Below are 13,048 nucleotides of genomic sequence, written 5' to 3' on the forward strand. Positions count from 1 at the left end.
GTCTAGAATTTCTATTTGGCCCGTTTTTTAAAAAAATTCTATATCTTTATTGATAGTCTCAATTTGGTTATTCATATACTCCCTTTTATTTCTTTAGACACAGTTTCTTCTAGTTTTTGACTGTATTTGTAACAGCTGGTTTTAAGCATTTGTCTAGTAAGTCCAATATCTGGGCTTCCTTGCACAATATTTCTATTGAATACATTTTTCCCCATTGTGCATGGGCCATGCTGTGTTTTCGTATGCCTCATAATTCTTTGTTTAAAGCTGGACATTTAAAATAACATTATGTGGCAATTCTGAAAATCAGACTCCCCCCTTACTTACCATAATTTTTCATTGTTGCTTTTGTTTTGGTTTTCATTATTTACTGTTTAGTGACTTTTCTGGCCTAATTCAATAAAGTCTGTAAGCTTTATCATGTGCAACCACTGAAATCTCTCCTTGGTTAACTTAGTGGTCAGCCAATAATTGGGCAGAAGGTTGGTTAAGTGCTTTGAACTAATAAGTGTCCTATCCTTTCCAAAGGGTTTCTCAGTGAGTGTGTGTGTGTGCATGCATGTATGTGTGTATGTTAGAGTATGCCTCAAATGGAAGTTGACAGCTTTAACTTAGCCTTCACTCCTGTTTTCAAAGACCCTAAGGGTCAGTGAAAAGTGATATATTAAGTCAGTCTTAGGTCTTTCCTGAAAATACACATAGCCTCACACATGCATGTGACTTTCTAGATCTCCCTGAATATGTCAGAGCTTTTCCAAGAACTTTGTGGACATCTTGCCCCCAAGACCTCATTTATGTTTTTGTTTTTGTTGTTGTTGGCCCACCTTTTAAAAATCTTACTTTTTTTGTTTTAATTTTTAAATAACTTTTATGCAATAAAAACTGAAAAATATTCTTTTGTTGAGTGTTTTTCCTAGACAGAAGATACTCAGATAATGTGCTGATATTTTCATAGACACATTTACTCACATTTTGTATGTATAGATGATTAAAAAACTTATAAATATTTAGCCTTTTACTTGTCCTTCTCTACTGACAGGTCTTTGGAGACAGGAATTATATCTTGTTTACCATTCTGTGTACAATAAACTAGCACGTTGGTTGACACATGTTATTCAGTCAATAAATACATAGAGGCAAATTTTAGCAGAAGAATTTATTGAAGCAAATATTATGATTGATTTTCTTTTAAAGAAATGCCTAAACATCTTAATACTTTCATACTTGGTGATAACTGCAATGTGAGATAAAATGCTTTTGTCATTTGTGTAAAAAACCCATCTGAGTGGCTGTGTGCAGTGGCTCATGCCTATAATCCCAGCACTTTGGGAGGCCGAGGTGGTGGATCATTTGAGGTCAGGAGTTCAAAACCAGTCTAGCCAACATGGTGAAACCAGATCTCTACGAAACATACAAAAATTCCAGCTACTCAGGAAGCTGAGGCAGGAGAATTGCCTGAACCTGGGAGGCGGAGGTTTCAGTGAGCCGAGATTCCATCACTGCACTCCAGCCTGGGTGATGGAGTGAGACTCCGTCTCAAAACAAAACAAACAAACAAACAAACAAACAAACAAAAAGCCATCTGAGCTAAAATATTCAATAGTGTGTGTGATATTTCAAACAACTTCTGACACGTTCCATAGAAGTTCTCATGTTTCAGCATGCATTGTTTTCATGAGATATTTCTGTGTACCATGGAAGAAACTCCTCCCTAGCCAGCATCAAGCAGCTCAGTTGCTAACTGAAAATCTTTAATTGTCAGAGGAGGAAGATGTTTACAAGACTAACCTGTCACTAATCTGGTATACAAAAATTCACCGGTTGCTTCTGTCAAGCATTCTATTGATGCCTTCAATAGAAATGTTTTGAAATTTGCATGTTATGTTTTGTCATTTTCAGATAGAAAATCCATGTGTGGAAAATAATACTTAACATTATTACTGTATTTTGTATATGTCTAATGATGCTTTTCAAATGAAATCAATAGGTATTTAAAATCATCTTTTATTTTTTAACCTCCAAATTTACTTTCAATTGAATTCAAAATTTGCATCTGTGTTATTTTAATTATGTATATAAAAGAATTAACAAATTAGCTTGCGCACCAGCCTAAGAAAAATGTAATGTAAAGTTCTATACTTTTCTTTTTATTAAGTGACTGCTTTAACTTTACAGGAATTAAAAATTTGCAAGGGAGGCATTTGTTTTTATGGAAAACTGTAGGAAGATATACTTTCTTTGTTGCTGATATGATTGAATGATATTTTTGAGTCCAATTTCTGATTGATAGAAAATGAATACACCAATATATACAATGTCAAGAAGCGAAACATCTCATTTAGATACATTACAGAAGTAATTGGTCCTATTTTAATGAATATATCATGAAGAAATCTGAATTATCTAAATGTTCTCCACTCCCTCAAAATCTTCCTGGCTTAAAAAATTCAAGTCATAGAACTTCTATAATATGACTAACATTCAGAGTAATTTTATATTAATCATATAAGATATAAACCAGAATGTCCTCCAAGCATATATAGTTTGTGGTGCTTGGAGCCAGAGATATTGTAAAATAAGAGAAGAAATTCAGTCGTAGGACTGACCCTTTGCTCCATCAAATATAAACCATAATTTCAGCAGTCTGATATTAGCATTCTTTTCTGGATGAGACTTTATGCCATTATCAATATAGAGTACCTTGATAACAACTTAGTAGCACTTAAAGTAGATGAATATTTAAGTAGAAAAAAATAATAAGTTGTTTAATCTTATTAGAAATACCAGTTTGCTGGGTCTGTTAGCTAATGCCTGTAATCCCAGCACTTTGAGAGGCTGAGGTGGGAGGATTGCTTGAGCACAGAAGTTTGACAACAGCCTGGGCAACAAAGGGAGACACCGGCTCTAAAAAAAAAAAAAAAAAAATTAGCCAGGTGTGGTGGTTCATGCTTGTGGTCCCAGCTACTCAGGAAGCTGAGGTAGGAGGATAGCTTGAGTCCACGAAGTCAAGGCTGCAGTAAGCCATGATCATGCCATTGCATTCCAGCCTGAGCAACAGTGAGACCCTGTCAAAAAAAAAAAATAAAGAAAAAAGAAAAAAGAAAATTGATTGGAGGCTTATTATTTATTTAATTTTTAATTGATTGTTATATCATTACATAATCCCAGCATGATTAGCAAAAGCAACTGAGAAAATATCCTGTGAAAGAAAAAGAAGTTAATTCTCAGTGTTTTAACTTAATAAATGATATGATCAATTCATTAGAAAATATGTGGAACAGAGCATTGATTTACTTATTTTTTGCCAGCTCTCTCATTTAATGGCTTCTGTGGTGAAAGTTAAGCTTCTCAACAGCAAAGAGACTACAGACATAGATGTTGGGCACATACACCTGAGAATCCTAGTACTTGGGTTTAAAACCCAGCTTGTCTACTGACTAGCTGTGTAACCTTGGGCAAGATGACTCAACTTAACTTTTTTATTCTCAGTTTCTTTTTCTGTAAACTGGGGATAATATTCACTACCTCAGATTGTCGGTATGAAGGTTAAATGAAAAGAATATGTCAATCATTTTGAACAGTGCCTGGCATATTATAAGTACTATATGCGTTTGTCAATATTACTATTATTATATTATTTTACAGGACAGAACACATTAGAAATTTTAAGAATAATCTATTAGTTGTCATAGCTAAATAATATATTTATATATTGCTTTTACTTTAATTATCTATTCACCATTAATTTAAAAATAGATACCATTTTTACTTCTTCTGAGCTTTTTGTAGAATGGAGGCATCTGGGACATTTTCACCAAATCATTCATCAGAAGGTCCATTACCGTTAGTTGAACTAATGGCTACTTGCACCATTAGCTTAAATCAACTAACAGGCAGCAGCAATTTCCTCAGTATTTTTTTATAAGTGACTTTTTAGTCTGCTTGGACACTTATTTGGGTTTAAATGTAAAAAAATCATTAAGGATTTATTTCTCTACTTATATATTATAAGAAATCTTGACAAATACTAATATTCTAGCTCATTTCCTGCTCCAAATTCAGTGCGTATCTTTTAAAAGCTTTTACTTAAAGAACAGAGGGAGGAAAACTAAATTATTGGAGGTCAGGGCAGATGGAGAGTACATATGGACTGTTTTTCTAACTGTAGTGAAGTTCTAGATTTTTAAAAATTTTTTAAATTTCTAAAAATTTCCACCCTGTTGCTGACCAATACTTTTATTAAATACAATAGAATTGAACTTCTAACAAAGGTGATCATGCGAGTAGATGACATAGTAATGTCAAATTGCCATAAAAATTTCTAAGCTTCTACTTTTAAATTCCATATCTTGAAATGCACTGGTAACAAATAATTTGTGCAATGGTACCTTGGATAGCACTAATATAGAGCACATTAAGATGGAACTATTTCCATGGATTACTTTAGGACACTGGTTTCTTAGGTAAGTGGTAACAAATTTCCACCATCCTCCACAGAAGTGGCTTTATATAATTACTTATTACTCATTCAGTATTTAAATTCTAATTTGAAACTTTAGTATAGTAACAGAAAACAATTCAGGATTTGCCTGCATACTAGGATGGGGGGATATTGACTAGAAAGAGTCATAAGAAACTTTCTGGGGTACTGAAAATGTTCCATACCTTCTTTGTGTTGGTGGATTCACTGATATATACATTTTTAAAACTTTTTGAATTATATGCTTAAAATGAAGGCCCTTTATTGAATGTAAATTGTATCTCACTAAAGTTGGTTTAACAATACAGGTTTTAGAAAGTATGTTGTTTACTTTGTGAGGAATGAAGAAATTGAGGAATAGACCTAGTTCTTTCCTTACTTCCAAGATAAAGTATTGTGGACATACCTCTTTCTCATTTTGCTTCTTACCATAACCCTGTTGTCACTCACCATGCATCAGGTGGCACTGTCTGGTGACAAGAACCCCATGGGGTTGGAAACTTCTGCATGTGATAAAAGTGGCTGTTGTGCTCGTTGCGTCATCTTTCTTGGCCTGAAGAAAGGTACCTTTCCATTTTCACAGAAGCTATATCTTTAAAATAAAAAGATCCTAAGTTTTTTCACAAGAAAATTTGAACTCCTTTTAGAACATATTTTATTGTTGTTTGAAGGTTAAGTAAATTTGGGTTCTTCTCAAAGAGTATTTTTAAATTAAAATTTTAAAACACCCAAATAAAATTTTAACAAATTACACAAAATATAAATATTTTTGGGGGAGGAGTAACCATGCATCAAAATATGGAAACTTGAGATTGATCTACTAAGAAAATCACAGAATAAACATACAAAGTTTCTCCATAGTTTTTATATTACAGACACATTCATGATTTTGTTACTGGCAAAAAGCTATTATATATCCAAGTTGACAATACTGATTGGTTACTCAGCATAGGCGAAGAAAAAATTTTTCTCTACCATAATCACAGAGCATTTTAAGCAAGTTTCTTCTATCATAATAGCATACTATACTACGCATTGAATGAGCAGTAAAAGTCTTTTAACAAACAAATATATTGCGGGCTACCTAAAACCTCAGACTATATGGCGAGGTGATTTTTCTTCTAAATAGCATATAAGAGTGCTCATTTTAAGTTGCCCAAATTTCCTATCTTTCTGTCTCTGTCTATCTAACTATCTATACATCTATCTTTCTATCTTCCTGTCACCTATATAGGCATAGGAGAATTATTTTCTTTATTTTGCCCTAGTTTCAATAATTGAGTTTTGAATTTAAAATAATATTTGCTTTTTTCCTGTTTATTACATAGAAAAGTATGAGAAAAATTAATATTACTCTTAATTCATAATACAGAGATAATCAGTATTAATATTATACTATATATCCTTTATTTTTTCCCCCCAATGACCACATATGTAAATAGCAAACTTGAGGTCTGACTTTCTTTAGCCAGAAAACCAAATTTATTATTTGATATGGCTTGGCTGCATTCCCACCCAAATCTCACCTTGAATTGTAATAATCCCCACATGTCAAGGGCAGGGCCAGATGGAGATAATTTAATCATAGGAGACATTTCCCCAGTACTGTTCTCATGGTAGTGAATAAGTCTCACGAGATCTGATGGTTTTATAAATGGGAGTTCCCCTGCACAAGCTCTCTTGCCTGCCACCATGTAAGGCATCCCTTTTCTTCTCCTTTGCCTTCTGCCATGATTGTGAGGCTTCCCCAGCTATGTGGAACTGTGAGTCCATTAAACCTCTTTTATTTATAAATTACCCAGTTTGGGGTATATCTTTATTAGCAGTGTGAGAACAGACTAATACATTATTATATATCAGGGTTTCAGATAATGGAGAAGCCTTGAATAGAGGACAAGAACCCAGGGAGCTCTGGAGGACTAAACAACATGCTCTTCAGCCTTGTTCACATAGCAGATGTCAGCTTATGAATCAGACTCCCAACTGTTTCCTCCTCCTTCAGTCACTTTAATTGCAGCCAAAGAATACAATTTTCTGTAAGCCAGAGAGAGAGATGGAATCAGCAATTCTGGCTTCCACAATGGGAGGCTACTACTTCTTTCCCTGGACTGTCATGGTGGAGAATTCCCCAGAGGAGTTTGTGATGCTGGAGGAAGTGGGTGGTTGAGTGATAGATAGCTAGAAACTTACCAGTGACCACTGTGGGCCTCACATTTGCCCATCCAACATCCATACACACCATCTTAATATATTCATACGTTAAAACTTATCTCCACCTAGCAGAGTGAGACATCTCTCACACAACTAACAGGAAATGATCCAAAGTCGAGTTGGTTCCTACAGGCAGATCTGAATAATCCCAGGATAATTATATGCAAAACTGCAAAGTTAACTACCCACAAGTTATGTATATTGAAAGACTGAAAAAAGAAGAGAGAAATGATTAATATCAATATAGTCATGACATAAAAAGGAGGGAATATAAGAGGAGGGTGTAGTCTCTGCTTCTACAATTTATCACAAGGCTTTTGCTGCTAGTTTTTATGTCCTTTCTTTACTATTCATTCACTGTTCCTCTTGCCTTCAGTCTTCACCTCCGCTAGTCTATATGGGTTTTTTCACAATGGAGTGACCCAAACATTCATTCCTGAGGTATCTGCATTCATGTGGATTACACTCACGTAGGACTGCCCATGCCTCCTACTCAATTATGTGTTTAAACCTGGCAGTACAATGAGGCATCCCAGGATTCCCCTGGTTTCTCTTCTCCCTGTGCTCAATGTGCAATAATCACTGTACCTTTTCCCCCTTTATACTCAGAATTTTACTCAATTGCTGACCCCTCCCATACTTGTTTTTTCAGTGGCATAAGGATCTTAACACGGTCAAGTGTCAATGGCAGCTCCATCTTCTTGTTTGGTGGAACTATGCGGTGTCCCTGGTAGAAGTCTCTCTCCATTGGATATTTTGACAGAGTGGGTTTTCAAAAGTGGTCACATAAATATATCCCCTCCCCCATGCTCATTTTATTTTGTAACTTTGATAGTCCTCTATCAATATGTGGGGGTCTATGTTCCCTTCCCTTGAATCTTAATGGGCCATGACTCCCAGGGAAGTAACACTGTGTGACTTCTCAGTCTTGGATATGAAAGGCAATACAGCTTCCATCTGGCTTTCTCTCTTTCTCAAGACATGCTTGGAAGAGGCACATGTCATGCTTGGCTTGATAAAAGAGGCCCAGCTATTCTGAAGCCACCATGCAGGAGTGATCTTGTAGAGAGAGCGCAGAGCTAGAAATGCTCAAGGAGTTCCAGCTACTCCAGTTCTCAGCTATTTGGGTCTTCCCAGTTGAGAGTTCAGATGTGTGAGTGAGCGGGCTTTCAGATGATTTCAGCGCTTAGCCTTTGGGCCTCTTCAGCTGTTGCTATTCCTGAGAAGCCCAGTCTAAACAGCACATTCATGAGAAAAGTAAATGTTCTTGATTTGTAAAGCCAATATATACTGGGGAAGGATTTATATGGAGAAATAGATAACCCAAGTAGATATTATAATCGCTAAACCAGCAGAGCCCAGAGTTTCTGGGATGGAAGGCAAACATTTTGTGAAAGCGTGATTAGATGCAATTGTTAGTGGTACAACCTCCACTTCCACTCCTTGGCTCCTGAACCTGGATATTCTAGATATGGGAGAAAGCATTATATTACCATATTATGTTCACTGGTTCAGATAATTTTCTATACCCTGTGAGAGAGAACCAAACATTTAAAACTAGAGCTAGCATTGTGACTAAGAACTTGATAGATCATTACAGGGTTGTACAAAGCCAGCTACTTCTGGAGAATGAAGGTGCATATGAATTCCACATGTGTTAGTTCATGCCATATTTCTATCATTGTAAAGTGAAGTTCTTAGAAGCAATGCTGTGGCCAGTACTGTACTTCTGTATCAGATACTTGTTATTCTGCAGATGCTGGTGTTGGCTCTGTTGTGAGAGGTGTGGAGAACAAATCTAAACCCAGAATAAGTGTTTATTCCATTTATTGCCAGTGACTCCCTATTTCATGGTGGAAAGAGTCCAATGTAAACAATTGCCAAGCAGCTGCTTAGTTACCTTGAAGCACAAGATCTTATCAAGAGTTCAAGGTTAGTCACTACTTCTGGTAAGCTGTATATTTGGCAGAGGCTCTGGTCAGATAAGCAAGATATGGATCCATTTATGTCCTCTGTTCTTCTGCCCATGGCCACTGCTTTCATGAGTCTGTTGAATAAACAGGTGAGGTGGGGAGGAATATTGAAGAAGAAATTAATAGAAATAATAGTTTTGTCCACTTGATTCATGAAAGCCTTCTATATAGTAGTGGTCTTTTGGCAGGCATTCATATGAGACACAAATATTCTCACACTCTCACACCTTGGGCCCATTCTGAGAGGTCTAATCACGTGCTCCTTCCCCAAGCCACTTTGTCATCATTCCTCTCTTCTTGCTTTTTCCAAGCCCTTGACCCTCTGGTCAAATGTTTTCCATTTCTCATAATTTAATGTAGACATTAACAATTCATCTCTTCTAGAAAAAGTGGACATTGAGGTATGCTGTTCAAAGTTCTGCTCAGTGAAAGTGTTTCACTTCATCATTGTCCTCTAAGCCCACCCTGAGAGGCCCGTAACACTGCACAGGTCTCCTCTGGCCTGTATCAGTATAGGAGGCAGACCTAACTGTAAATTAAATTTAAGTTTCTTCAGGTGAAAGCAAAATGTTTAGAAATGTTTATATTTAGTGCAAAAGAGAAGCTAATATTTTCAGGATAAATAGCTATATGCCAAGCACTAGAGTTTGTGTAGATTACTTTAATGAGATAAAATCTGAAATAGCAGCTTTCATTTGTGTCATCATCTGATTAAGTTTAGGACAATTCACTGTCGTTCTCAAAAACCCATTTATCTTTGGTGTACTGCACTGGAAAATTAAATGGAAATGAGATAAATTACCACCCTGGTATTATTGAAGTTTTATTGATGTCCCTATCCCTGTGATTTTTCTGGGAATGTGAGAGTTTTTGATGTGCTTTTAGTGGGAATGAGAATTCCAAGGGCTTCCACTTGACCTTTTCTACCACAATACCTATTGATGAAGGAGTCAATGTGGGAATTCTGACAACTTTTACAGATATCCTTTCAAAATATATTACACAATGGGGTTTAACTGCAGAGTTCTTCCCAAAGAGTACCCAGTCTCCTCTTTATTCAAGGGCCTCTTTGTTTAAGAATTAATTAAACCCTAAGGATTGAATGAGGACTACAATTCTCTATTGTGGTTGCTGTAGACTGAATTCTGCTCACCAGATCTGTTTTTTTTTTTTCTATACAAATAAAGCAGGACCTTATTGGGCTGCTTATCTCTGTTGGGTCCAGAAAATCCCTGTTTTGTGATGGATATTACTGTGCTCAGACCATGTGATTACCATGTGGCTACCTGGTTCTTATCAGGATAACCATGCCCACTTTGCTTTTACTTAAATGCTGCTACTTGACTTTTGATAGCCTAAAGTCCTTGAATTTATTTATTTATTGTTTTTTATTTTTGAGACAGTGTCTCACTTTGTTGCCCAGGCTGGAATGCAGTGGCATGATCATGGCTCACTGTAGCCTCGACCCCCCGGGCTCAAGCAGTCTTCCCCCCTCAGCTTCCTGAGCAGCTGGGACTACAGATGTGCACCACCATGCCTGGCTATTTAATTTATTTATTTATTAGAGATAGGGTTGTGCTACGTTGCCCAGCTGGTCTCAAACTCTTGGGCTCAAGCGATCCTCTCATCTCAGTCTCCCAAAGTGCTAGGATTACAGATGTGAACCACTGCACCCGGCTTTCTATACTCTTCATGTCAGCAGGAATGCAGCCACCTAAAGCCTTACCCTAAAAAGAACTTGATTTGGGGGGACCATAGGTGACAATTTAATTAGTTTTGTAGCTACTTTGTAAAGTCCTGCATTCCCACCTGGGGTTATTATTGAGAATTTCATTGCTTTCTGCTTTACCTTAGACAGGTGACTAGATTCAAATTCTCCATATTCCCTTTGGAGCCTGTTACCTACACCTCACTTTTTGGAAATAATTTCTGTATCAGGTAGGATTTTTGGATGCAATTAGCAAAAATAATCTCTTAGCAAAAAGAGGGATATATTAAAATGTTATTGGAACTTGCAAAATTGATGGGGGCTAGACCATAGGCTTAAAGGGCATGCTGGGATCAGGAAGTTCAGAGGGCTGGGCAGGAGAGGTGACAATATTTTAAGACAGGGGCAGGGCGGCCAGACCACTGTGGTTCACAGTGTGAGAAGTAGGTCTACTCTTAGAAGTGATTATTCTTAGCTTGTATTTACTTCTTTTGATCCTGGCAGACTTCTAAACACAAACAGACTTCTCAGCAAACAAACTTAAATGTACACATATCCTTCAAAATATTTGAAGAGTTTAGTTTAATTAAAAGTCGTTTCCACTACCTCTAAAAACAGTTTTTATATTCAAAATATCCATCCTACTAGACAAACACACAAGAGAGGAAAGACATTAAAAATTTTCCCATTTCCAAGCATGAATGTCTTTGGGCCATTTATCAAAGTTCCCAAAGAAAGAATTGCATGTAATTGAGACAATAAATACATAGACATATGATAAAACAATCAACCTGAACATTCATGGTTCAACGTATCCTAGAATACCCAAGGGACAACATCTTGGTTCAGAATTAGATAAATTAATTAGGACAAATGTTCTTATTAATTCAGAAACAAAATGGTTTATTTGAAGATTTAAAATCAGACAAACACTTTTGGAAAAACATCTATGAGCTGACTGAACTCGGCATCCAATGAAGAGAATAAATATTTGAATTAAGAGTATTTTAAGAATTCAGATTGTGATGGCCCGGTGTGGTGGCTTATGCCTGTAATTGCCGCACTTTGGGAGGCTGAGGCGGGTGGATCACCTGAAGTCAGGAGTTCGAAACCAGCCTGGCCAACATGGTGGAACCCCATCTTTATTAAAAATACAAAAAATTAGCCGGGCATGGTGGTGCTTGCCTGTAATCCCAACTACTCAGGAGGCTGAGACAAGAGAATCGCTTGAACTTGGGAGGCAGAGGTTGCAGTGAGTGCAGATATCACCATTGCACTCCAGCCTGGGCAGCAAGAGCAAAACTCCATCTTAAAAATAAATAAATGGGAATTCAGATTGTGGCAATTAAATGGAGGATGGTATGAAGTACAAAGAAGCAAAGAGACTGAAAATCATAGATGCTACTTATCTTATGGGAAAAAAATAAACAAAAACCCTAAACAAACAAACATGCAAGAACAATAGGCTTCATTTTCTTTCTCTATTTTTGAAACCATGGAAAAAATATAGCCTAGTGGTTGATAATTTCACGTGGTGTGATGTTCCATGTAAACCCTCAGAGGGCTTCCAATTGCAAAAAGAGATTATCCACAAGCAGAGAAAATGGTGAAGAAAACTTAATTGGCTGAATTGTAAAGATCCCTCTCTCAAAAAGGAAAGCCTTAGGCCAGGTGCAGTGGCTCGCATCTGTAATCCTAGCATTTGGGAGGCAGAGGGAGGAGGATGGCTTGAAGCTAGGAGTTTGAGATCAGCCCGGGCAACATAGAGACTGTGTCTCTAAAAAAAAATAATAATAATAATAATAATAAGCCGGATGTGGTGACAGGTGCATGCAGTCCCAGCTACATGGAAGGCTGATGCAGGGGGATAGCTCAAGCCCAGGGATTTGAAGCTGCAGTGAGTTATGTTAACACCACTGTGATCATAGTTGTTGCCCAGGGTAGAGGTTTAAGCTGTCTTAAACCTCAGCTTCCTCTAACCTGGGCTACAGAATGAGACACTGTCTTAAAAAAAAAAAAAAAAAAAAAGACAGCCTTGTAAACTGTAGTTAGGGCAGACAATTACTGAGTGATTGCTTCAGTTCACCATAAGGGAAGCAAAAATGTGTGATTTTGATTGGTCTAAGAAAGAAAGAATTCTGTGCCTGTCTCTGTCTCTTTCACTTTGCTTAGGTAACATTTATTTGTCCTCACAGCCTCATGGAGGGGAGACCACCTGTTTCTTGCTCCCAGCGGGTGGTCATGTCGACAAGGCTGTTGGTCCTGGTGATGGCGGTGATGCTGCCCAGAGTGGTGGTCGGGTAGTGCTGGAAGGATTTGAAAACCCAAAGATTATCTTCACATGCTTGTAGAACAGATTTGAGGCCAGTGTAGCCAGAGAGAAAGAAGTGGTTCCCACAAAACAATTCAGATTGTGCTCCATAGCCCTGAAAAGTCTTCCTCAGATTTACCCTCTATCAAAAGCAGAAGCTGAATTTGAAAATATCTGTTTCATTCTTTATGTATGTTTCTGTGCTAACTATATAATTTACTGGAGGTGAATTATTTTATTTTGGAACGCATTTTTTCTTTCTTTCTTGTTTTGAATGAAACAAAATGTCATTTCTCAAACTGCCATGTTTTTCCTTTGGGATTTTTAGATTCCACGCTTACTTGCTGTGGACACTAGGGGTCAGC

At 37.0% G+C, this 13,048-nt stretch overlaps 1 long non-coding RNA gene across 2 annotated transcripts in view; it reads left to right on the forward strand.

Annotated features, from left to right (window-relative positions):
• Positions 1–13,048, forward strand: part of LINC02842 (long intergenic non-protein coding RNA 2842) — a 77,208-nt gene that overhangs the window by 12,077 nt on the left and 52,083 nt on the right. The gene's annotated exons all lie outside the window — the stretch shown is intronic.

This window comes from Homo sapiens, chromosome 8 (assembly GCF_000001405.40).
Source record: "Homo sapiens chromosome 8, GRCh38.p14 Primary Assembly".
Taxonomy (NCBI): Eukaryota; Metazoa; Chordata; class Mammalia; order Primates; family Hominidae; genus Homo; species Homo sapiens.